General features: G+C 37.6%; 1 protein-coding gene and 1 long non-coding RNA gene across 3 annotated transcripts in view; one reads left to right on the top strand and one right to left on the bottom strand.

Moving 5' to 3' along the window:
* EYS (eyes shut homolog) overlaps window positions 1-27,223 on the top strand; it is a 1,987,247-nt gene that overhangs the window by 1,878,416 nt on the left and 81,608 nt on the right. For both annotated transcript variants that reach the window (NM_001142800.2, NM_001292009.2), the window contains exon 37: window positions 22,439-22,621. In NM_001142800.2, the coding sequence (NP_001136272.1) occupies window positions 22,439-22,621 (183 nt within the window). The remainder of the gene's footprint in view (window positions 1-22,438; window positions 22,622-27,223) is intronic.
* On the bottom strand, window positions 6,169-21,975 carry SCAT8 (S-phase cancer associated transcript 8). The gene is made up of 2 exons (NR_157848.1): window positions 21,925-21,975; window positions 6,169-7,571 (listed from the first exon to the last, which is right to left on the bottom strand). It is a non-coding gene; the product is annotated as an S-phase cancer associated transcript 8 (long non-coding RNA).

Raw genomic sequence — 27,223 nt, 5'->3', positions numbered from 1 at the left:
CTACTTTTTAAAATTTGTTTTATTATGGCCATTCTTGCAGGAGTATAGTGGTATCACATTGTGGTTTTGATTTGCATTTACCTGATCACTAGTAATGTTGAGCATTTTTTCAGATGTTTGTTGGCCATTTGTATATCTTCCTATTCATGTCCTTAGCCCATTTTTTGATAGGATTGTTTGTTTTCTTACTAATTTGAGTTCATTATAGCTTCTGGATATGAGTCCTTTGTCAGATGTATAGATTGTGAAGATTTTCTCCATTCTCGCTGCTTGTTATTGTTCTCTTCAGGTTATGTAATTCTTCTTGATTTGTGCTGGAAGGGTTGTATTTTTCCAGGAATTTATCCATCTCTTCTAGGTTTTCTAGTTTATGTGCTTAAAGGTGTTCATAGTCACCTTGAATGATCTTTTGTATTTCAGTGGTGTCAGTCATTTCTTCGTGAGGTTATTTGGATTTTTTCTCTTCTTGGTTAATCTTGCTAATGGTCTATCAATTTTACTTATCTTTTCAAAGAACCAGCTTTTCATTTCATTTATCTTTTGTATTTTTTAGTTTCAATTTCATTTAGTTCTGATCTGATGTTGGTTATTTCCTTTCTTCTGCTGGTTTTGGGTTCGGTTTGTTCTTGTTTCTCTATTTCCTTGAGGTGTAACCTTAGACTGTGTGCTTTCAGACTTTTTGATGTAGGTGTTTAGGGCTATGAACTTTCCTTATAGCACTGTCTTTGCTGTACCCCAGAGGTTTTGATAGATTGTATCACTATTGTCATTCAGTTCAAATAATTTTTTAAATTTCCATCTTGATTGTCTTTTTATCAAATACTCATTCTGGAGCAGGTTATTTAATTTCCATGTATTTGCATGACTTTGAAGGTTCCTTTTGGAGTTGATTTCAAGTTTTACTCCACTGTGGTCTGAGAGAGTGCTTGATGTAATTTCTTTTTTTTTTTTTTTTTTTTTGAGACGGAGTCTTGCTCTGTCGCCCAGGCCGGACTGTGGACTGCAGTGGCGCAATCTCAGCTCACTGCAAGCTCCGCTTCCCGGGTTCACGCCATTCTCCTGCCTCAGCCTCCCAAGTAGCTGGGACTACAGGCGCCCGCCACAGCGCCCGGCTAATTTTTTGTATTTTTAGTAGAGACGGGGTTTCACCTTGTTAGCCAGGATGGTCTAGATCTCCTGACCTCATGATCCACCCGCCTCGGCCTCCCAAAGTGCTAGGATTACAGGCGTGAGCCACCGCGCCCGGCCGATGTAATTTCAATTTTCTGAAATTTACTGAGGCTCATTTTATTGTCTATCATATGGTCTTTCCTGGAGAAAGTTCCAGAACTGTTGAATAGAATGTATATTCTGTGGTTGTTGGATGAAATGTTCTGTATATATCTGTTAATTCCATTTGTTCCAAGGTATAGTTCAAATCCATTGTTTGTTGACTTTCTGTCTTGATGAAGTATTTAGTGCTGCCAGTGGAGTATTGAAGTCCCCCACTATTATTGTGTTGCTGACTGTCTCATTTCTTAGGTCTATTAGTAATTGTTTTATAAATTTGGGAGCTCCAGTGTTAGGTGCGTATGTGTTTAGGTTTGTGATATTTTCCTGTTGGACAAGGCCTTTTATCATTATATACTGTCCTTCTTTGTCTCTTTTAACTGCTGTTGCTTGAAAGTTCATTTCTCTGATATAAGAATAGCTACCCCTGCTCGCTTTTGGTGTCCATTTGCATGAAATGCCTTTTTCCATCCCTTTACTTTATGTGAGTTCTTAATGTGTTAGGTGAGTCTCCTGCAGGCAGCAGATGGTTGGTGAGTTCTTATCCATTCTGCTGTTCTGTATCTTTTAAGTGGAGAATTTAGGTCATTTACATTCAATGTTAGTATTGAAATATGAGGTAGCCTTGCTTTCATTGTGCTCTTTGTTGCCTATGTATTTTTTTTTTGTTTTTGTCCTTTTTTTTTTTTTTTTTTTGCTTTTTAACTTGTATTTTTGTTTTATAGATCCTCTGTGATTTATGCTTTAAAGAGGTTCTGTTTTGATGTGTTTACAGGATTTTTTTCCCAAGATTTAGAGCTCCTTTTAGCAGTTCTTGTAGTGATGGCTTGGTAATGGTGAATTCTCTCAGCATTTGTTTGTCTGAAAATGACTGTATCTTTCCTTCACATATGATGCTTAGTTTCACTGGATACAAAATTCTTCGCTGATAATTGTTTTGTTTGAGGAGGCTGAAGATGGGTCCCCAATCCCTTCTAGCTTGTAGATTTTCTGCTGAGAAGTCTGCTGTTAATCTGATAGGTTTTTCTTTATAGGTTCCCTGGCACTTCTGTCTCACAGCTCTTAAGATTCTTTCCTCTGTCTTAATTTTGGCTAACCTGATGACAATGTGCCTAGGCAATGATGATCCTTTTGCAATGAATTTCCCAGGTGCTCTTTGTGCTTCTTGTATTTGGATGTCTATGTCTCTAGCAAGGCTGGGAAAGTTTTCCTCAATTATCCCCCCAAATACGTTTTCCAGGCTTTTAGAATTCTTTTATTCCTCAGGAACAATGATTATTCTTAGGTTTGGTTGTTTAACATAATCCCAGACTTCTTGGAGGCTTTGTTCATATTTTCTTATTTTTTGTCTTTGTTGGATTGGATTAATCCAAAGACCTTGTCTTTGAGCTCTGAACTTCTTTCTTCTACTTGTTCAATTCTATTGTTAAGACTTTCCAGAGCATTTTACATTTCTAAAAGTGTCCAAAGTTTCCTGAATTTTTTCTATTGTTTTTGCTTTAAGCTATCTATTTCCTTGAATATTTCTCCCTTCACTACTTGTATCATTTTTTGAATTTCCTCACATTGGGCTTTGCCTTTCTCTGTTCCTTCCCTGATTCACTTAATAACTAACCTCCTGAATTCTTTTTCAACTATCTCAGGGATTTCTTCTTGGTTTGGATCCAGTGCTGGTGAACTAGTGTGATTTTTGAGGGGTGTTGATGAGCCTTGTTTTGTCATATTACTAGGGTTGGTTTTCTGGTTCCTTCTCATTTGGGTGGGCTCTGTCAGAGGGAAGGTCTAGGGCCGAAGGCTGTTGTTCAGATCATTTTGTCCCATGGGGTGTTTCCTTGATGTAGTACTCTCCCTTTATCCTGTGGATGTGGCTTCCTGTGAGCTGAACTGCGGTGATTATTGTCTCTCTTCTGGGTCTAACCATCCAGCGAGTCTACCTAACTCTGGACTGATACTGGCCATTGTCGGCATAGATTCCTGTAATGTGAACCATCTATGGGTCTCTCAGCCATGGATACCAGCACCTGTTCTCGTTGAGGTGGCGAAGGGCACGATGGACTCTGTGAGGGTCCTTAGCTTTGGTGGTTTAATGCTCTATTTTTGTGCTGCTTGGCCTCTTGCCCAGAGGTGGCATTTTCCAGAACAGCTATAGTGTGGAGAGGGATGGGCAGTGGGCGGGGCCCTAGAACTCCCAAGATTATACGCCCTTTGTCTTCCACTACCAGGGTGGGTAGGGAAGGACCATCAGGTGGGGGCAGGGCTAGGCATGTCTAAGCTCAGAGTCTCCTTGTATAGGTTTTGCTGTGGCTGCTGTGGAGGATGGGGGACAGGTTCCCAGGTCACTGGAGTTGTGTACCTAGGAGGATTGTGGCTGCCTCTGCCTAGTCATGAAGGTTGTCAGGGAAGTAGGGGAAAGCCAGCAGTCACAGGCCTCACCCAGCTCCCATGCAAACTGAAGGGCCAGTCTCACTCCCACCATGCCCCCAACAACAGCCCCGAGTCTATTCCCAGGTGGCGGGTGAGAGGGGCTTGAAAACTTGCCAGATTTCTGCCTCCCAGCTGCAAAAGAAAAGGGCTTTAGTTCTTCCCCTGCTTGTGAACTCTGCAAGCGGGATTGGCGCCCTCCCCCAAGTTCTGGCCAGGAGGCTTCTCGCCTGGTTCAAGTTGTTACAAAGTTCAGCTACAGAATTCCTTCTCCCTTTGGAGTTTTGCCCCCGTTCCTCTGGCCACCCTCCTGATGGATCCCTGTGGTGCCAGGCAGGAATGGGCTGCTTGGGGACCCAGTAAGCTCCCAGGGCCTTTCTGCTGCTTCCTCTACCCCTGTATTTCACTTGGCTCGGCTCTCTAACTTGACTTGGCTCCAGGTAAACTCGGCAACTTCTCCTGCAAACGGACCTGGACCTTCAGCTTCTCCAATGGAGGTATGTGCTCGGGAGAGGAGGGTCTCCTTTTCCCACTTCCGCAGCTGGGGTGCTCACAGAATTTGGGGTGTCTCCGCGTCCTGCAGCAGCAGTCCACTTCCTTCAGAGGGTCTGTGGGTCCTCTGGGGATTGCTGGTTTGTTCTTGCAGTAACATTTAATTTTTTATGAAGCTAAGTTTTATTTTGTAATATGTGGTAATGATCAATTTATCAGTAATATTTATTGAATGATCTTCCTTTTTCTCATTAATTTGAAAAGCCACTCACAGTAAAAATCTTCCAGGTATATTTGTGTCTTATGCTGGACTCACTCCATACCGTCATGTTTCCATTAAGATCACATTGAATTCATAAAATCACTTAGTGGGAATTGGCATGTCTATTATATTAAAATTTCCTATTTGAAAGTATTTCTACTTACTAATAATTTACTTTATGTCCCTCAATGATTTAAGGTTTTCTTTATTTAGAACTTGCCTGTGACATATTATAGTTACGTTATAAATGAAAGAGAGACGAGATTGTGGGATGCTATCTTCCTTTATTTCCAACTCCAATCTAGCTGTCACTTGTAAGATGCATATTCTGAAGTCAGTGGGAAGCTTGGTGGAAGTAGGTTCCTGAGTTATAGAAATTGGAGTATCTATTCTGCTTTCCTTTGCATTGGGCAAGAGGCTAGAGATTAACCTAGACAAAATTGGAGGAAAGTGAATCCAGAAGAAAAATGTAAGGACTTGGGGCATATATTAACAAATTAGAAAAAAAGAACAATAATGCAAATAAAAGTAACTTAGGAAAGGGGAATCATTGAAAATGTAGCTGAAACAAATGAAATAGAAAAAAAGACAAAAGATAAAAATATAAGAAGTACCCATTTTAAGATGTAAAGCATAGAAATAAACCAAAATAAATTACAAAAAGGCAATTATTGATGAAAGTGAAATAAATAAAGTATAAAAGAACTTGGTTATTATTAAAGCTAAAGAAAATAAGTTCTTCAAGGTATGATTAGAGTAAAAAGATGAAAAATATGATTAGAAATGAGAATGTGGCATAATCATAGATAAATGAGAAATTTTTTTCTTAGAGAATAAAATATGCATGTCCATTGCAAACAAACTTTGAAACTTGGAGAAAATGAATGTTATTCTAGAAAACCATAATTATTCAAATTGACTCATAAATGAAAAAACATTTTTAATTGCTACGTTAGCATCTTCAAAGGTAATTAAACATGTACTATTTTAAAAGTCACCACAATAATGCACATTTGTAAGTATTTCATCGTATGTATTAAGAACAGATTATTTCAGTGTTACTTATTCCAGACCACAGAAAAAGGTGAGTGCTTCTCAATTCATTTTATTAACTCAGCATAGCATTAGCAGAAGAAAATAAAACTATGGACCAATTTCACTAAATGCCTGTAGGGGGGAGAAAAAGGTAAATATTAGCAAATATAATCAAACAATGTACCAAAATATATATTATTACTAAGTTAGGAATGTTCTAAGAATACCAAGGTTATTCAATACTAGGAAATTTATCAACATAATGCAAAATCAAAAAATAAACTAAAGGAAAATATTTTTTGATTAATCAATACTAAAATGTCATCAGATAGTTACAAATAAGACATCCAATCAAATTCAACAGACATAATTGTTTTATTGTTTATAAGAAAATTAGAAAACAGAAACTAAAAACTGGAATAAAATACTAAAATTTAATAAAGCCTAGTTTGAAACCAAAAGCACATAGTATTCCTAGTGGTGAAACACTAAAACCTCTTCAATTAAAATCAGAACTTGACAAGGATGCCTAGTATAACTATTATTATTTGCCATATTCTTGAGAAGGTCCAAGCAAATGCAATGAGATAAAAATAATCAATACTCATAGTAGAAAAGAAGATACAAATCTATTTTTGTTGGTTGTATAACTTTAATGAGAAAAATTTGTACGAGACAAAAAATAAAAATCGGTAGCTTTTCTTAATAGCACAGCTGTATGTAAACATAAAACAACTTTACTTTGTCTTCCATTCTCCCTTTAAATTTGTTCAATGGTGTTAATTATCCTTTTTCCCCTCAAATGAAAGTTCAGACATGGTCATTCCTGGATCACAAAATATCAGTTCCACTTAGTAATTCGGTTTTCCATTTTTATATGATAGGTAAATCTATCTGCATTAAATTTCATGCTTTCATGTGGCCAGGTGTGGTGGCTCATGCCTGTAATTCCAGCACTTTGGGAGGCCAAGGCTGGCAGACACCTGAAGTCAGGAGTTCATTACCAGCCTGGCCAACATGGTGAAACCTGTTTCTACTAAAAATATAAAAATTAGCTGGGCATGGTGGTGCACGGCTGTAATTCCAGCTACTCGGGAGGCAGAGGCAGGAGAATCATTTGAACTCGAGAAGAGGAGGTTGCAGTGAGCCAAGACCACACCACTGCACTCCAGCCTGGGCAACAGAGCAAGACTCAGTCTCAAAAAATAAAAATAAAAAACTTCATGCTTTTTCCTTCCACATTTCGGACTGATTTAGCTAGAAAATTTCAAGGGAAAAGGAAAACTGAAATTCTTTCTCCCCTGTTTTGCTACCTACAGCACATGGCCCTTCATCATGGAGTTCAGGGACAGGAAAGGACAGGAGATTTCTTTCTTCACTGAAATGATTGAGTTGATTTAGCTTCACTGCTCTCTGGGTTTGGCATTCAGTCATCCATCCTTGTCTTGTGGAACAGTTTCACGGATGCTTTGGAGACCCCATGGCTGGAATTCTTCCACTTGCAATTTTCTTTGAGAAAAGGCATATCCATTCCAGCTGGTTGTTTGCTCCTTCCCCAACCTCTGGCATCTCATAGCATCTTCAGCTTTCCTTGCTGAGTGATCTTTGTCTCTTAAGGTGGTTCATTTGGTCAGAACTTAAGAAAACACACTATCTTTGTCCTACAGCTGAGCCACATCAGATTCCAGGCAGCATGCTCACATCCTTTCCCTGACAGCCTCTGGAGTGCTGAACAATTCCAGTCAAGAAGCAACCTGTCATTGGCTTTCTCCTTCATTGCAGTCAATTAATCTCCCACCTGTTAGACTTTCCAGGCAGAAGTCAGTACACTACGTCCCCTTTCCTCAAACTTCAGGGATACATATTAAGCTCTCCAAGTTGTGTTTCTAAAACCCTTCCCTCTTGATTTGAGGTGAAAGGGTGAGGGCTATAAGCCTTTTATACTCTCAATAAGGGTGAGGAATTCAAGAGTCACCAGCTGGTTTTCAGTCTCCTGCTTTATAAATCCCTCACTTTGATGTGTTGTTTCTACTTTCTTTGTGCTTCAGCTAGAACTTCTATTTTAACCTCTTGTTACACTTTCAAGCCCAACCTAGAATTAGAAATAAGAAATTTTCCAGTCACAACTTTAACCAAAAAAAAAAAAAACCTACAAAACACTTTGAATACATTTGATGAGAAAGGTGCAAGACTTCTATGTAGAAAATTATAAAACTTTAATAATATTATATATGAATGGCTTACAAAACTTTGCCATGCTAGCAGATGAGAAGATATAATTCATAATATAATTTTCTGAAATTATATTATTTATGGATTACATGAGAAAATTGCTATTTTAATACATAATTTCATAACATTTCAAAGCTTTTGAGTCTGATCTAGAATAATATGTATAACAACAACCCACCAATACCTAGTGAAAATATAAAAAATAAATAAATGTCCTTGCCTGGCCTTGCCTTGCTAGGTATCAGAACATATGTTAAACTACTATCATCGTTATCAGTGTGGTACTGGCATAGTAAGATACAAATAGATCAACAGGAAGAAGAGAAAATTAAGCAAAAGACCCCAGCATATATGAGAGTACAATTGATGACAAAATTGCTGTTTTATTCAGTTGTGAGATAAGGTTTTAATTAATAGATGAAACTGGCACAACTTATTCTCCACTGGAAGAAAACAAAATTAAGCTTCTTTTATATTATGTATTAAAATAAAACCTGGGATTATTAGAGACTTAAAGATGAAACATGAATCAGTGAATATCTCAGGACCAAATCTAAGAATTTGGAATAGCCTAGAGATGAAGGAATAATTCTTAACCAAGAGAGAAAATTCTGGAGCTGTAAAAGAAAACATTTGGACAATTTTTTTAAAACTATTGAATTGCAAAGGATTTCACATCTAAAGTCAGTAGAAAAACAATAGATTTGAAGAAACTATTTGTGAGGTGACAAAGGATTAACATAATATTCAAAGAGCTCTTTAGTATTGTCAAAATAAAGATAAAATCAAAGAAAAATAAGTAAAGCATATGAACAGACATCTCACTGAAGGGTATACAGTTGGCCAACAAGTAAAAGGTGCTCAAACTCACTAGTAATCAGGGAAATACAATTAAAGTAATAACTGGACAAACCACCCTCATCAGACTGTCAAAAATTAGAAAGAGCAATGATATAAATTACTGGAGGGAATTCAAGAAGATTATATGCACTTTTTTATGGAAACATGAATTGTAATTTTAGAATGCAATCTGACAGTATGTGGAAATGGCTGTGATGCAAGAATTAGAGGCCATGCAAGGCCTCAATGTGGACTTTCCCTTAAGAAGTAGTACTTCAGAAGTGTCACTGTTGAATCCTCATTTCCCCATGGCTACAAACAACCCGGACCCCTGATATAATCCCAGGGATGAAAGGGGGACTAGTCAGCCTAGTGGTAGGTTGATTACATCATGGGATTGGCAGGAATTTGTCCTTATTCTCCTGATTACTTGTTCTGGATTTGGATTTTCTTTCCCTACTAGTCATGGTTCTTCTACCATTTCTTTTGAGGGAGTTCATCAATACAGTGTGTCATTATGGTATCCTGCACAATATTACTTCTAAACAACAGGCTTCACAGTGAAAGAAATAAGGCAGGGAGAGATACTGAACTTATGAAATTTATCACCCAAAAGTTATTGGCCTTATAAAATAGAAATATCGTATATTAAAGACTCTGTGGCAGCATCAACTGGGCCAACCTTCAGGGTAACAGCACCATTCTGAAAGATGTCATGTATGCTGTGAAACTTTAACTGACACGTGGTGCTATATTTTCCACAATCATACTACACAGATTCAGAAACCAAGGGGGAGCAGAAGAGCAGTCTGTCTCGTGATCATCCCTAAAGACCCACTCACAATTTTTCCTCTCTCTGTGACTCTGAGCTCCACTCATTCAGAGGCTTTTGGCACCCAAAAGGGTAAAGCTCTCAAGAGACATAGCCATAGTCCTATTGAATCAGAATTTACATCATCCACCTCCCTTTCAGGCTTCCATGAAACCACACAAACAGGTATGAAGGGGCTTGAAGGTGTTGCCCCGAGTGACTGATCACAATAGGCACAGAGAGGAGAGTCATGCATTCATTTATTCATTCAATAAAGAGAGCCTCCTATGGGCAGGCACTGTTCCAAGTGCTTAGGATGCAGCAGAAAACAAAAATGACAAAATCCTGCCTTCACGGACCTTACATTTCAGTGAGGTGGGGAGACAGTCTAGTGATTTGTGAGAAGGTAGATTATAAGTGCTATGGAAAAACAAAAACAAAAATGCTGAGAAGAAAAAGAGAAGAAATCCCTGGGAGGGGATCAAGGTGTTTTTATAAGAATTCAAGATATTTTTGGATGGAAGGAGACAACTCACTTGGATAGATGAATGGCAGAACTTTTTGTTACTTACAGCTTCAAATGGGAGAAGACTGCCACAGGGCCACACGGAGGTTTCCCTTGGAAAGGGCTTTTGTGTGGCAAGTCAGGTGGGGTTAGTTAGGTTTTGAGGGCTCTCTGTAGATTGGCTAATTGGAATAATTCTGAGGGCTCCAAGGTGTGTCCCTAGTTGTCTGGTGCCTGTCCCAGGGCAATTAGGACAGGAGTGTGGTGGCCTGGAATGTGAGAGTCCAGGGAAATGACTAGCCTCCAACCAGGGCCCCAGACTGGGTTTAAGACAGCATTTCTTAAAAAACCTTACCACACAGAGGAAGGTTAGAAGTAAATAGAGTGTACAGGATAGGACAAGATAGGCCTCAGGGAGAAGGAGAAGGGTGGAATTGAAAAAACACTGAAGGTGAGAGAATTAGCCAGCAGGTGAAAAAGTGTTCTGGTAAAACCCAGGTAACCCTCTCAGTCAAAGAAGCTGTGAATATGGATGAGGAAAAAAAAACTACATCTTTCTGTGAACTCCAACAGAAACTTAATGTATTCTTAACTATGAAAATCAGCATAAAATCACAGTTGTATTATCAGCACCTGCAACTTTGTCACCAAGAGAAATCAGATCCCTTTTTATCAAATGACAGTTGTTATATACTGTATTAAAATATGCTTGTGCCCCCTCAATGTGAAACTGCTGTAGTTATTATACCTGCTGCTAGATTTTGCTATTTAAATACATTATGAAAGGACTATACTGTTTCCTTCATGACAAAACATTTGTTATAATTTATTAATTGTATTTCAAAAAGGTGGATTTGTTTTATAATCTTAGGTATTTTACTGTATGAATTTAAAAACATTATTCTGAGGAGGGTTCCCACTAGCTTCCCTAGACTGCTATAGAGGTCCATGACATGCATACATTAACAGGCACACATGCACACACACAGTGAGAAGCCTGCCTTGGGATAGTGCTTCACACATCCAATGGTAAGAGTTAATGGAGGCCTCGTGAAGCTCCTGACCGCAGGCCCACCATGGCCTGGCCTCTCAGGAATGATGACTTGCATCACCACACCAGATAAAGAATCCAACCAACTGCAGGGCAGGCGGCAAGCAAGGAGGACACAGAAGAAAGAATTTAAATTTGCTTCCCCTACGTGAAAGGAGAGAGCATCCAAAGAAGAAAGTTCTAATATGAGAAGTGGCCTTATGACCAGTTCCAGGAATCTGGAGTTTAGCCCCAGGGCTTCCTGGTGAATGCCAGTCATTTGCAGGTTAGCTCTGAGATGCATTTCTCACCCTGTACAAACTACATTTTCTCCTACCAAGGCAAGGTCCTGTCAGGAGACAGGAGACTGGGGGGAAGAGAAGCTACAGAATTTCTCCCCTCTCCCCTCCACTAGTAGCTGCATCCGCGATTGGTTCCAGCTGCCACTTAACAGGTCCCCAAGCTACCCGTGGTCCCATGTCCTGATGAGCAGCCCCCATTACCGGACCCAGCTCCTGTCAGGAGGTTGCAGCTCTTGGGCTTTTGTAGCACTGTGTCTTCCCTTTGTTCTTTCAGCCATAGAGGTAGCAGCTGCTTTCAGCTGTTCAGTTGTTGCTATCCTCTAGGTGGCCTCACCATCCCCTGTTTGCTCTCCCTTCATAATTAGCTCCCTGTATCAAGTCTTTCCTTTTGACTATCTCTTGTGGATGCTGATAAGCAAAAAAGCACAATAGTAGCATTACCTTTGATTCTGTCACCAGGAAAAATCACAGATACTTCCATATCACATTACAGCTGTCATATGCTCTCTGGTTTCTGTAAAGCATTTGAGTTTAGTAACTGAAATTTAGTCTATATCAGGACAGTATCACAACATAAACATGAGAACAAATGGCCATTATGCAGAGATTCCTTCTGTACTTGGAACAAAATGCAATAAAAGAAAAGACTTTAAGAAGTCTCCAATTGGGAAAGAAGGGTGACACTTTTTTTGATTATATGTGGGATTGTTGCATTATGTTAAAAGGAAGTTATTTGAAAATGCAAGTATAAGAAGGATGCACGTTGGCACTCAGCAACCAAAGGTCTGTGGGAAACATTTATTGGGTATTACGTTTGTTTCAGTTTTGGATTTTGGCCACGTAGCACGTGAACTTCCTTCTTATTTGCGTACATGTACATGCCTTAGGATAAGCCAATGGGATAATCTCCCCAAGATTTGCACCCTGAAGAAGTGGTCCAAAGAGAGAGAGTAATATTTAGAAATTATTTGTAGCTGAGGTAGTTGCACAGCTGTCCCCAGTCATAGAAATACCAGTGGCTGCATCCTGAAATAGCTGTTCACACAATGTGAACTTGGCAGTATTTGAGCTACCTATGTTCCTTTGTTTTTCCTGCTTTCCCTGCTAGTTCTCCAGCCCTCCCACTGACCATGAGGTAATCTGTCTCCTTTCCTGCTTAAGATGGTCAGGGTTAGTTTATATTGCCAGTAACCAAGAAACCTAATTGGTACAGTTTTATTCCAAGTATTTCATGCTATAGCAAATAAAATACTTTATTTCATTATGTTTTCTGATTGTTGTTCTTAATTATTCCAGTCATCTTTTGTAGTTCTATAATACTCCATTATAGTTTGAGATAGGCACCTGCTCACTATTAGTACACAAAATCTTGGGGCTATTAGATATAACAAGATCCTTTCCAATTAAAAATAGTACTCAATATATGTTATACCTTGTGAATCATGTATGATATTTTTATTTTGTTAGTATTACTTAGAATAATCTCTTATACCATATTAATATGAAATCTTTTTATATGCTTTTGAAACATCATGTGGTGTTGTGGTCCCCAGAAATGAGTTAGTATTTTGCAAGATGCCACTGCCTTCTTCTAGTACTTCAACAGCTAAACCACAGTTGTCTTAAAATTATAGTTTTCCCTATAGTATCCCTGGTTAAGATTTTTTTCTTTTTTCTCTCATGATTAGAGTACATACTGCTTTTTGATAAATCATCCTTATTAGATTTTTGCTTTTCCTAATCTTTTATACAATACCAAAAACAAAAATAAAAATTATTGTCAATGACCTGTATATTTGTGTATGCATGTGTGTGCCTGTGTCTCCAAACGTTCAAGCACTTAGAAACCTTTAAGGACATATGGATCTTTTAAACCAGTTTTTTATTTATTATCTATGCATATTAGAAAACAATTGAGCTTCTATTAAAACTTATTTGCTGATAAATTCATTGGTATATTGGTATATCCTGAATATCAGTTAAATGCTTGACACTGCAAAGTAGTTAATATGTGTTTACATTTCTATTAAATATAGAAGGAGGAATGAGTTCTACAGAATTTTATTCATCCATGGCCAGGACTTGGGAGGAAAGTAAAGTGGTAGATAGTCAATTTGTGGGGAGTGCCAACTTTAATAATGTAATATTTTAATAATTACATAAAATACCTACCAGTGGCCTTTAACTGGCCAATGTCATGAGTATCCCAACCATCATAGTGAGGTAGGTAACATAGAGCACAGGCTTTGGAGTCAGATGAACAGGGGTTCAGATCTTGACCCTGTCATTTCTTAGCTCTGTGACTTAACATCTCTGAGCCTCAATTTCTTCATCTATAAGATAGGAATGAGGTAGAAGTACATCTCACTGGTGTTCTGTGAGAAATAAAGTAATTTAGATAGGGCATCTAGCAGCTGGGACATAATAGATACTATAATTGCTATTTTTAATATTTTAGAATATACAATAGTGCATCTAAACAGCCATATCTTGAAAAATGATATAGTAACAAACTAAAAGAATGTATCCACGGAACTTGAGCGATAACCCACTCCAACCTCAATGTTTCTTAATTTCTGAACTAAATATTCACGGGCATGAAGAAATTCATGAGTTAGAAATGAGAAAATTATTCAAAACACATCAGTTCCAGAATATCCTGTGTGTGTAATAGCTAGGAATCTTATTTTATCACAATAAACTACTAACCAAGGGAATGTAATCCAGTATAAACCTGCACAGCTTATGTAATATGAATTATAGAGGATGTGAAAATTTTACCATGCTCAAAGCTTAGGCCATGAACTGTAATGTATTGCAGATACTATGATTATGATTTGAACCTATATGTTTCAGGGATTTTTTCCCCTTTTCTGACACTTTGTGATACTATAAAACATCCTACCAGTACCTAGTTACTTTGAAAAGCCAGAAGATGGCACTAATTTCTAAGAATTATGCATCTAAAAAGAATGCTTCAGATTCTAGCATGTATTATTTCTTTTGCTGGTGGAAATTATAATGCTCTGCATTTTCAACAGTTTTTCTATCTTAATGTAAAACTCTGTTTGTTCTTAGCTTTTTCTTGATGATTGGATAAAGAAGTTAGAATGGTAGTAATTAAATATCTATATAGAATACGTGAATAATTTATTATGAGCAGGAATTGGCAACCAACCAATCATATTTATTTCATGTTTATACCTGTGGGTGAATTCGATATTATATATCCATTTGAATAGAGAGCTTGATTTTATTCATGTACCGGGTATCTCTGTCTTGGTTCAGAAGGAAAAGGTAACTGTATGTTTTCTGTGCAGGCTACCATCACCTATAACTGTTGGCGATATCTCCGGACATATTTATTTCTATTCCCTTTAAAAAATAATCACATTTGTAGGTTGCCATTTTTATTTCTAAATGATAATGCTGAACAGTGTGAAAGTGTATTCCTCAAGGAGTTTGTTCAACAACAAAAAACAGAAACAACAAAGACAATGACCACGTACATAGTTTGATAACCTAATTGCATTTCGGCAGGATATTGAGCTAAATCTGGTGCTGTGTTACTAAGAAGTTAAGAACAAAGACAGAGGAAAGACGTGTATACTCAAAGCTAGGAAGGAAAACTGGAGAGGCAAGCAATCATCTTGTATTTTTGCAAATTTATCCATCTGCCTAAGGGTAGATTAATTTTCCTGGCAAAGTTAAATGTGTATTTCAAGATACGCTACACTGCTGAACATGATGGTTGGAAAACTGGCATTCTGGAGTCTTTCAAAATCAGCAGTTTCCAAGGGAAGATCTACCTACCATCTGCTTGCTTCATTAAAATACATCATAGAGAAGGAAGAACTGAATTGGATTTTCACTAGCTCAGCGCTCCCTGGTGTCCACTCTGCTGAGGTTATACACAGCAGCCTACATAGAAAACAGAATCCAAGAAAAAATCACCCACAGGTTTTTGTCTTTTGTATCTGTTTAAAAACAGCAATGAACTCCAAAAAATTATATATTTAGACCAAACAATCTATCTTGAAAACACTTAAAAGTTTCAAGTAATTTTTGATGCACTTAAGAAAATTTTTTCAACACCACATGTAAAATTTTAAGCATGATCTTAAAGGTATCATACATATATTTTGTCAGGTAAAAGGCAAAATATTCTGTCAAAAACTATCAATTGTCCCAAGAAACCTAGTCAGTATTTTTAGCTCACAAATTAAAGAAGACATTATTTTCAAATATTAAATGGAAACTAATGTTTATAAGACAAAATGTATAAAATTATAGTTCTAGTTATACAACTTAATTATTAAAAACAACAATTTGGGCCAGGCCTGGTGGCTCATGCCTGTAATCCCAGCACTTTGGGAGGCCAAGGTGGGCAGATCGCTCGAGCTCAAGAGTTCAAGACCAGCCTGGGCAACACGGTGAAACCCCATCTCTACAAAAAAATACAAAAGTTAGCCAGGCATGGTGGCGGATGCCTGTAGTCCCAGCTACTTGGGAGGCTGAGGTGAGAGGATTGTTTGATTCCAGGAGATGGAGGTTGCAGTGAGCCAAGATTGCACCACTGCACTCCAGTCTGAGTGACAGAATGAGACCCTGCCTCAAAATAAAAAAATAAAAAATAAACTGATTTGTCAGGTTAGGGGTCCCTATGCCTTGATTTTCAGTATGTATTATATTATCTGAATTTTTACCCACACTAGAAGAATTAAGATTCCATATTATTGCAAAAACTTAGTAACATTTTTTAGAGGAAAGGACTTAGTACAAAAAACAAATTCAAACAAGCAATGATTAGCATTGGTGATAGTGTAGAAATCCACTTCACAACTTCATCCAGTAGCTCTATAAGTGCAGAATAGTTAGTCACTTAAGAACAGAGTTGTGAAGATACTAGATAAACAGTAATGGCAGAGATATACTATCATAATATATATTACTATGTCCTTAACACTACTTTAACCTTTTACATGTATTCAACCATTTGATAAATATGTATCTTATGCCCAATTAGACCATGAAGGACAGGCAAGCTCTCTGCCCTAGTGGAATCTGCAATCTGAGTGGGGAGAAAAAATAATAAAAAGTAAACAAATAACATATAATGGAATTGGGCCATGTAAATAAAGCAGGTTAAGAGACTAGAGAGTACGGGGTTGGGAAGGGCAGGGCACAAGGAGTTACTACTTTAATAGGAGATTAATACTTTAATAGGGTGGTCAGGAAAGGCCCTGTGAGGAGAGAACACCTGAGCGAGTCTTGAAGGAAGTGAGGGAGCAGGCCATGCAGCTTTTGGGGAAAATGTGGTTCAGGCACCGGGAACAGGAGCAGAAGCCTTGAACTGGGAGTGTGTTAGGTTTGCTTGAGAAACACGAAGAAGTTAGCATGGCTGCAGCAGAATGAGAAAGAAGAAACGAGTATAAAATAAATCTGGAGATTGGGAGATTTAGGCTATGTTCAGGAGTTTTGATTTTATTTCAAACTTCAATGGAAAATGCTGGAGAAACTTTGACACTCAATTTATATTTAAAAGACCACTTTGGCTACAATACGGAAAAGAGATTGTAAAGTGATAAAGGTAGCAACACGGAGACCAGCTAAGAAGCAAATATTATAGTTTGGGCTACAAAGAACAGTGCATTGAACGTTGATGGTATTAACAGACACAGTGAAAAGCGGCAGTGTAATTTGGGATATATTTTGAAGATGAAGTTAACATATTCGTCAGTTTGTCAGTTGAGGTAGCAGAGAAAGATACCATTTAAGGATGATGCCTAGTTTTGCTCTGAGCAAAGAGAGGGAAGGCTGGGAAACAGATTTGATTGCAAAGGAAGGGAAGGGATTTGGGTTGGGGGAAAGAATACAAATAGTGGAATAAAGAGTTTTGCTTTGTGTATGATCAGTTTGAAATTCTTATCAGACATACAAATATATGTTCATTATCTAGTAGTTGGTTGGATATGTGAATCTGGAGCTCTGGAAAAAAGCAGGGATAGAGACTGTTTACTCAGGACTCATCCACCTGTAAACGGTACTCATGATCAAATACAGAATGATGGTAGATGGAGATAACTGGAAGAAAAGGAGAATGAGGAGCAGCAGTCATTAAGGTAGGAAAAAATATCAGGACAGTGCAGTGGTCATGGAGACCAAGTAAAGAAAGCATTTCAAGAGAAAAGAAATAATCAACCTTGTCAGTTGCTTCTGAGACACTGAATAAGATAAAAACAGAGAATTGACATTTAGTTTAGAAAGACTGTGGTCACTAGTGATCTTAACATACAAAAGTTCAAAGAAAAGATAGAGAAGATAGCCTGACTGGAATAAAATCGAGCATGAATGGTAATAAATTTTGTAAGAGTCAATACAGACAACTCTCTAGAAGCCCCTTGATAGTATGTTGAGCAGAGAAACATGCAGTAGCTAGAGGGGAATGTGGAGTGGAGGGAAGCTCTTTATTTATGATGGGGACATTCTAGCATATTTCATGTTAAAGGGAATGCTGCAGTAGAGAAGAATAATTTGGTAACTCCTGGGAGGCAGGACAGAATTTCTGAAATGATGCCCTTGAGCAAATGAGAAGGGGTGGATGAAATACCCGGGCAGAGTCAGCCTTGTCAGCAGAGGGAAGGCAAAGCATATGGATAAAAATTAAAGATTTGTGGGTGGGAGAATTTGACAGTGAAAGCATCAGGTAGTTCTCTGTTGATGGGTTTTTCTCAGCAAAATAAAAACCAAGATTATTAATTCATAAGAGACAATAAATATTAGATGTTTGAGGAGAGAGGAAGCATTAAATAGCCATTTTAGAGGCTGGGAAAGTGACTTGACTGGAAATATGTAGTAGGATTGCTGGTATGGTGGAAGAGGTTTGCCCACTTGAATTGTATGTTTAGCTCGAGTGTGTTTTCTTCAGCCATGGGCTTTTCTCATTCTTCACAGATGTTAGGTGCTCTTACATTCTCATTTTATGAACAAAGAAACTAAAACAGAAAAGTGAAATAACTTACCCAAGTTTACACAGAAAGTAAAAACATCCAGAATCAAGCCTGAGCTGGCCAGCCCCAGCTGCCTCCCTCCATCACTATGCCATAGAGTAGCTCATGTTTTACTACCAGCCGGTGGGCTTCAGGATGCATCACTGCAGAGTTGAAGAAAGGTGTTCTGAAATCTGAACTATTTATATGTCTTCTTTCCACATTCCAATAGTTCATCTTAGCCACTTCTGTGCATTGTGCATAAACTTTAATAATTCAGATTAAAAGATTAACCGCAGGTTTTTTTGGGGGGGGGGGTTGTTTTTGTCTTTGTTTTGGTTTTTTGTTTTTTTTTTTTTTTTGAGATGGAATCTCGCTCTGCCTCCCAGGCTGGAGTGCAGTGGCGCGATCTCGGCTCACTGCAACCTCCGTCTCGCGGATTCAAGTGATTTTCCTGCCTCAGCCTCCCGAGTAGCTGGGACTACAGGCGCGTGCCACCACACTCGGCTAATTTTCTTTTTCTTTTTTCTTTTTTTTTTTTTTAAAGTAGAGGCGGGGTTTCACGGTGTTAGCCAGTATGGTCTGGATCTCCTGACCTCATGATCCACCCGCCTCGGCCTCCCAAAGTGCTGGGATTACAGGCATGAGCCACCGTGCCCGGCCACAGCAAAATATTTTTAAAAGGAAAAAATAGTCACATTAAACACAATAATGCCTTATTTCTCGGCCATATTGGGAATGAGAAAAATTTGCCTTAGTAAATGATTAGAAAATAGAATTTTATACCCTTTCTGTGATAACTTTTGCTAAGAAGTGTTTTATAAGCATAACATTTTAAAAAGATTATACATTGAGCCTATAATATAGCACTATAATATAAAAGAAAATATCACAATATTCCCTCTTTACTCAAGGCTCTTAGAATTTTTAATGCCCCGAGATGATGTCTGGATACCTTTTGACTGTGCCTGAAATGATCCCAGAGCATTAGTGATTTTGCTTTCTTCTTCTACACACTAAACAATTTATTTTAGTTTAAATTCCAGCATCTCCCTTTTTTCTTCATGTTTCCAATTCATTCATGTAACTTTAGAAGAACTGACAAAAAAATGCATGACTTTACACATGGTATCTGTGAGGCAACTAGGGATTGCAAAAATTAAAAAAATATATACATTTAATAGCCCAAAAATAGTCCCATTACAATCTGTTCAATTTCCTGATTAGATGATGACTGATCCTTCCAGAAGGCTGATCTGGGAATTTATGCAGTAGAGTAACCAAATTAACCAAATGTTACCTGGCGGAAGATGGAAAAGGGCTTAAAGTATTGAAAAGAATGATTTGTAAGGTTGAAAGTCTTCTTTCTCCTAGTCTGAGTCCCTCACGTTCTTCTGCCTAATTCAGAGTTATAGAGACAGTGTGGGTGCAGACATAGAAGCCTCTTAGTGATGGATTATATTATCTTTGACCTCTTCTCCTGATTCCTATTGCTCCCCACAGAGGCCCTACCTTTTTATAGGTTCAAAGTTACCAAAAGAAAAAGCCCCTTGAAGTAAGTCACAACTAACGGTTTAGAGGAAGAACTTAACCTATCAAAACATGCTTGGATCTCTCTGCGTTGCCATTCAATAGAAATAGAATGTGAGCTGCCTATGTCATTTTGTTTTCTAGTAGCGACATTTTTCAAAGTTAAAAGAAACAGGTGAAATTTATTTTAGTAATATATTTTATTTAACCCAATGTTTAACGGATATGGGAATGTTATTAATAATATATTTTACATTCTTTGTTTCATACTGAGCCCTTCCCACACAGGCCTAACCACAATTCAAATGCTCAACAGCTGCAGGTACCACTAGACTAAGAAATGCTGAGCATTTGACAGATCCATTCCTATGGGTCATGGTTATCATCAGTCTTCATTATTATTCTCAAACTTCAAAAGTACTTATTTTTGATAGTAAAAATTATATCATGAAATTGCACTGATAATGTATTTCCATTAGCTGTTTAAATATCACACCATTGCCTTAATGAGTTACTCATAAATTGCCTTACATTTAGATTTCTGCATAAGCTTAATTCATTGTTAGATTTCTTGATATCAAAGTTCTTATTTTCATCCTTGACCAAAGTTTGGTCCTCCAGCTCTCTGTCTAATCTATGATTCACACTTCATCAACAGAATAATATTTCTAAAAAGCAACTTTGATCATTGCCCAACTACTTTAGGATAATAAAGAAAATATATAGTTCTTCATGATTTGACCACTGTCTATCTTGTTTCATTTCCTTCCACTCTCACTTTTCTTCTTCATTCTAAAATTTGCAGACTTCATAAGTTCCCTGAGTATGACATGCTGTTTTGGTCTTCACACCCTAGAACATGCTGTTTCTTCTGCCTGAAAGTTCTTATACCAGGCCTCAACTTTCAGTCCAGTTCAGCTGAATAAATGTATTGACTTCACACTAATCCCTTGAGTGACTAGTGCTTTTTTATCTTTGTGTCACCAGCATCTAGCACAGGTTCTGACAGTAAAATACCATATATATGAGATACGTATTTGTCAATCTAGCCTAAATGTAACCTTTAGGTAGACTCAGTTGTAAATTATTAACAGGAAGAAATATTAAAAGCAAAAGATAGTCATTCCTTTTCTATTTTAGTATTAAATTTAACTGAATTCTATTTTCATAGTTTTTAATGCCAACATTGAATGATGGTCAGTATTTTTATTCTGTTTCAACTCCAGTACATTTCATTTCCCTCAATCACCCTCCCCATAGTACTACTGAAAGTGATATACCTGAGAGTGTTATTATCTCAGGGACACAAATTATAAAGTTTTCATTAGATTAAAAAATAAGTATAAGAAGCAATATGTCTCAAAAGTCCCTACTTCACATTCTGGTGAGTTTTGAGAAAATTACATTTAACCTATGCCACACATCCCAGGGAATAAACTGATAAGATTTTAATAAAATATCAAAACAAAGTATTCAGCTTCACACAAATATCTTAGTTTAATAGTCATAATAAACTGATAAGATTTTAATAAAATATCAAAACAAAGTATTCAGTTTATTCACACAAATATCTTAGTTTAATAGTCATATAAAACAAAGATATACAAGCCTTTGATAATAAGCATCATTTTTCCTAAATTATTTGCTGTATACACAATTATAAACAGACATAAGAAGCTCTTTTAAGTGTTACATACCAGAGTGAGTATATTTCTTAAGGCTTGTAAAAATTCTAATTTTACAGCTTCCCTGGAGTTCCAACATCTCTTGAGAAGGAAACAACATAAGCTCTTATTTCCTCAACCGAGCTGTCCCCAACCAATAAAAATAGATCCTAGGAACATCCCTTAATCTGGTGACATCATCCATAAAAGACAGGAATGGGGTGTCAAAATCCCCTTTCTATTTTCTGTTGTCCTCTTTGGGTAAGGAGATTTAAAAAACCAGTGGAGACTTATGAAGGAAACAGTACAATGAAAGAGAAGAGTTCGATACAAGAAGCAACCCTCAGTTAAATTCTATTTTGTTCACACTGGCCCTTGAACTTCATCTAATTTTACCATTTCCTGTTTTTAATAAATCTCCCTACACTTTCACACCAATTGAATTCCATGTTTTTATTACTTAAGAAGCATCTCAGCAAAGAAATAATGAACATTTCTTTTAGACAATTATTTTTACTTAAAGAAAAGCTCTGGTCACTCACCAATGATGATAGAAAACTGACCGATTTCCTTCCTATTTCTTGACTTTCCTAGCCCTGACCTGGGGCTTTGGCTCAGATAAAGGTGCAGGATTAGAAAAGCACAGTTTGTTCAAAGGTGTGAGCTCCTCTCTAAGTCATATCCAGGTTTTGGATGCCAAATCATGTTTACGAGGCACCTGAGTAAATACTTTGTTTGGCTGCCAGTAATCTTTTCTATTTCTAAAATTAAGTTTCAAAATATAGGGGTTTGCTTTTTAAGTAAATTATCCATTATGTAGAAAGAGTATGCTAGTGAAAGGATTATATAGAAGATCTCAAAACACTGCATTTCCTTTGTTCTGGTTTTGAAATTTCCTGTTGAGTCACTTAGTTGCTCAATGCTGAAGGGCACTAAAGTATAATTAATGTAATAGTAAACAGACTATCTGGCCAGATGCATCAGCAAAACGTAACCCTCACTTTACAAATACATGTACAGGTTTATTTTAACTGTTTGGTTTGGGTTTTTTCACAGCTATTAATATTACTCAGCCAAGGTTCAGTGGCACAGATGCCTTTGGATACACCTCATTCCTGGCTTATTCACGGATCTCAGACATCAGCTTCCATTATGAATTCCACCTGAAGTTTCAGCTGGCAAACAACCACTCAGCACTGCAAAATAACTTGATATTTTTTACTGGACAGAAAGGCCATGGTAAGATTAACTGAACCCTCTAGGACTTGCCTCGCTCCTTTAAGAATACTTTAGAGATTCCTCAGGGACACTCTAATTGGCTGTGGTAAAAAAAAGACCTTTGCCTAGATGCAGCCTCCTCCTGTTTTCTGCCTTGAGCATGTTCGCTGTAGTCCAAAGTACTTAGCAGTTCCCTGATCCTTTCTGAAGCTCTACTTTGCATCAGGGCTACTGTATTAGTCAGTTTTCATGCTGCTGTAAAGAACTGCCAGAGACTGGGTAATTTACAAAGGAAAGAAGTTTAATTGACTCACTGTTCAGCATGGCTGGGGAGGCCTCCGGAAATTTACAAGCATGGTGGAAGGGGAAGAGGAAGCAGAGTACTTTCTTCACAAGGCAGCAGGAAGACGTGCCTAGTAAAGGGGAGAATTTCTCCTTATAAAACCATCAGATCTCCTGAGAACTCACTCACTATCACGAGAACGCATGAGGAAAACCACCCCCATGATTTAATTACCTCCACCTGGTCTCTCCCTTGACACCTGGGGATTATGGGGATTACAATTCAAGATGAGGTTTGCGTGGGAACACAAAACCTAACCATATCAGCTACCTTTCATAATCAAAAGAAAAAATTCCTACAGGCAAACATGAGGACAGGGAAGGTGACCAAGTCACATGGGAAGTAAGTTTATTGATTTGTCCTTTCCTCTGTTTCTTTCTGTTTCCATGTCTGAAGAGAGAAGGGAAATTCTCATTTTTCCATGTGTTATAAAATGGAAATGGTTGTTGCCCTCAAAGAAAACCATTCTAAATTAAAGGAGCAAGAAATTAAGAAAGTACTCAGCCTGTAACAAAGTACTCTAGTGCCCTGGAATTGGTGGGAAATCAACTTATAACTTACATTTGTCTCTCTTAAGTAGAAACTAGTTATGCATGTGCTAAGTCAAGGAAAATTACCTATGTTTTACTTTTAAGTCTGCAATCAACAGTTAAGCAATTAATCACCTAACTTCTCTGAGTTCAGTGTTTTCATCTGTGAGATCAACATATTGTAACAGAAAAAGACCTTTCTCTCAGCTGTCAGTGGTTCTACGGTGCTAGGGTAAATAACATATTCTGTTTTTTTCAACTCAATCAGTGACTGTCTCTTAATACCAAACACTCTTTTCTGTATCAGCATATGTCTGAAAGGAGCCTACACCCCAAATGAAATGTGGTATTTCAGACTCCCACCATGTCTGCTAGGATGGGGTACTCTATCATGTAAAGTACTATTCATTCTACCTCCAAAATTTGTTTGAATCTCTTCCCCATCCCTATGCTGAAACCTCATGACCTCTTCCTGACTGGTCTCCCTACTGATTTCCTGCCTGCAATTAATTATCCACATTGTAATAAGAGTTAGCCTCTTAAAAGGTTTATTAGATCATGTCTGAACCTTGTTTAAAACCCATCTGTGGCTTTTTACTGCACTTAGAATGCAATCCAAACCTCCTTATCATGTTCTCAAAGGGCCTTCAGGATCAGATCCCAGTCTGCATCTCTGAACACAACCAGGCCACTCTCACTATCTCTGTGCTTTTCTCCTACAGCTCTTCTTCCAGTGCCTTAACCACCAAGTGCTTTCCTGTCTCAGAGGTTTGGTGCATGCTTTTTCCTCAGCCTTGACAGGAAATAGCTATCATAGTGGTCAAGGGAGCAGGCTCTAGAGACTGGTGATGTAGACATGAATCAGTCTCCACCATGTGCAAATTATGTGTCAAGTTACTTAATGTCTTTGTGCCTCTATTTTCTAACCTATCAAATGAGTATAGTAACAGTGTATTTCCTTACAGCGTTGTGAGGAATAACGAACTTAATACATGGGAAGCTCTTAAAATATTGTTGGACTCGGCCAGGCGCGGTGACTCACGCCTGTAATCCCAGCACTTTGGGAGGCCAAGGTGGGTGGATCACCTGAGGTCAGGAGTTTGAGAGCAGCCTGACCAACATGGAGAAACCCCGTCTCTACTAAAAATACAAAATTAGCCAGGCATGGTGGTGCACACCTGTAATCCTAGCTACTTGGGAGGCTGAGGCATGAGAATCGCTTGAACCCAGGAGGCGGAGGTTGCAGTGAGCCGAGATTGCAGTGTTGCACTCCAGCCTGGGCAACAAGAGCAAAACTCTGTCTCAAGAAAAAGAAAAAGAAAAAAAATCATTGTACTCAATAAACACGGTAGTGTATCTTTTCTCAAAAGGGCCTTCTGTAGCCACCTTCACCAAAGTAAGTCTTGTCCCACCCCATCCAAGTTATTCTCTACCTCAGCTTCTTATTTACTTCCTTCATTGCCATTACTTTAATTTAGTATCCTTTTATTTATTTTTAATATAGTTGTTTCTTGTCTGTTTTCACTAACAGAATGGGAGCTTTACATAGAAAGAGATCAAGTCAGCCCTGTTCAACTTTATACACCCATGCTTAGCCCAGTGTCTGACCATAATCAGTATTTAATGAATGAATAAAATAACCACAATAAGAACAAATAATTGCATGAGATATAAGTCCACAACAGAGCTTCACAAGGATTCCTAAAGAGTGGTCATTCTTAGGGATTCTCAGTTCAAATGCTATGTCCTCTATTAGTATTTCCCCAGCGGTTCCCCTCCTCGCAACTCTTCCATCAATTCCCCTTTGTCTGAGCATGGACAGCCTGTTCTGCATTAGGATGTGGAGCCTTTGTTACAGGCTTTGGCTGGCTGCAAAGTTCTAAATTTCTCTTCTCACTTATAGAAATGGTGATTTATCACTGTATCACCCACAAAGCTTCTCTCCAATGGTTTTAATAAATATCTATGAATGTGCCCACTATAGCGCAGGAAGGGAAATAAAGAATTCCTACTCCTAACCCTTTACTCTGCACACCACTTATCATATATTTATCAATTAAACCCTTCTGATTTGAAAAAAAAAAAAGCCTGGCAAATGAAAACTTCAAATGAATATTGCAGACCCTAGGTCTGTCTTGTTTCAAAACAGATATTCTAAATCCTGATAGAGTCAAATAGGGAGAACCCAAGCAAAAGACAAACACCTGGACCATGATACTGAAATACTGCCACCAAAACCCTTTAGTACGCATCTACCAAATTCTCCTTCAAAATCTTTAACACACACATAAAAAATATAAAGCAATGTTTTAGCCACCTCATTTCTAAATTGTGAAATCTTACATGTGACATTTTCTAGTCCTCTCTAGTATTTTGCTTTGTATGCAGAGGAATTAATGCTAATTCTACATTTGCATTTATAGGTTTATTGCATGGTTAAATAAAGGTTAGATAACAGATTGATAAACTGTGAAGTTCATTTTCTAAAAACTGAAAATGAGAGCTCTAAAACATACAGTTGCACATTGCACCACATGAGGGAGCAAGAAGACCAGCTGAAAAATACAAATCATACTAAAGAGCTTTTTCTTTAAATGGACACAATAATTGTACATATTTATGGGGTATAACGTGATGTTTCAATATACAATATATTGAATCATGTATATTGAATATATACATATTGTGTAATGATTTAAGATAGAGTTTCTCCAAATAAGAGCTCTTCACACATATATTAAAATAACATGAATGTGCTTGTTAAAACTCTAGTTCCCAGGCCTTCTTGAATCAAAAATTAGAATAAAATAAAATAAAATTTTATCAAGAATCTTAGGTGCTTTTTATGCAACTAATATTTGTTTTTTTTTTTAATTTTACTTTAAGTTCTGGGATGCATGTGCAGAACGTGCAGGTTTGTTACATAGGTATACATGTGCCATGGTAGTTTGCTGCATCTATCAATCTGTCATCTAGGTTTTAAGCCCCGCATGCATTAGGTATTTGTCCTAATGCTCTCCCTCCTCTTCCCCTCCTTATGCAAGTAATATTTGAAGGCAACTACTGAAAATCTCCAGGAGCCAGCTAAATTAGACCACATGCAAGTATGGACTAAGGTATGTAATTATTGGCCATAATATCATATATAGGGATTATTCATCAATTTATATAGCATAAAGCTATGAATTAAAGAAGTGAGTCTTTTAAAACATATCGTTATTATTAACCATACAATTTACAATTATCTATTCTATAGAAGAAATGACCCAAGTCAATGTTATTATAGTAGTACATATACATTTAGATGTTATTGCCTAGTAATATTGATCTTTAACCTACATATTGGTTGTTACTATAAAAATCACCATACCATATGCTGCCTTTATCTTCCTCAGGTGAAGAGATGCACAAAGTCCCAGAGTTTATAAAATAACTTGAGTAAGCCAACCTCTAATTTCTGATATGTCCATAAAAAAGCAAGGGGACAACACTGATGATAGTCTTCTCTGAGTCTTTCAAAGCTGAACACTCATTTTGCAAATACTGCCACCAAATACTGCCACCACCATTGAGCTCTCTGGAAATATCCTGTCAAACACTTCATCATGAAAATGTCCCTTTGACTTATGATTTTTACCTAACCTAAGCCTCTTCCTATGCTTCTGCAGTCATATTTGGTGTTTTCTTCATTAGCTTCTCTTCCTTTCCTGCCCTCCACTCTCTTGTAATGTACATCTTAGAGACTGGCTC

This window comes from Homo sapiens, chromosome 6, assembly GCF_000001405.40.
Source record: "Homo sapiens chromosome 6, GRCh38.p14 Primary Assembly".
NCBI classification, from domain to species: domain Eukaryota; kingdom Metazoa; phylum Chordata; class Mammalia; order Primates; family Hominidae; genus Homo; species Homo sapiens.
The sequence above is the reverse complement of the archived record's forward strand: the minus strand, read 5'-3'. Positions and strand labels throughout refer to the sequence as shown.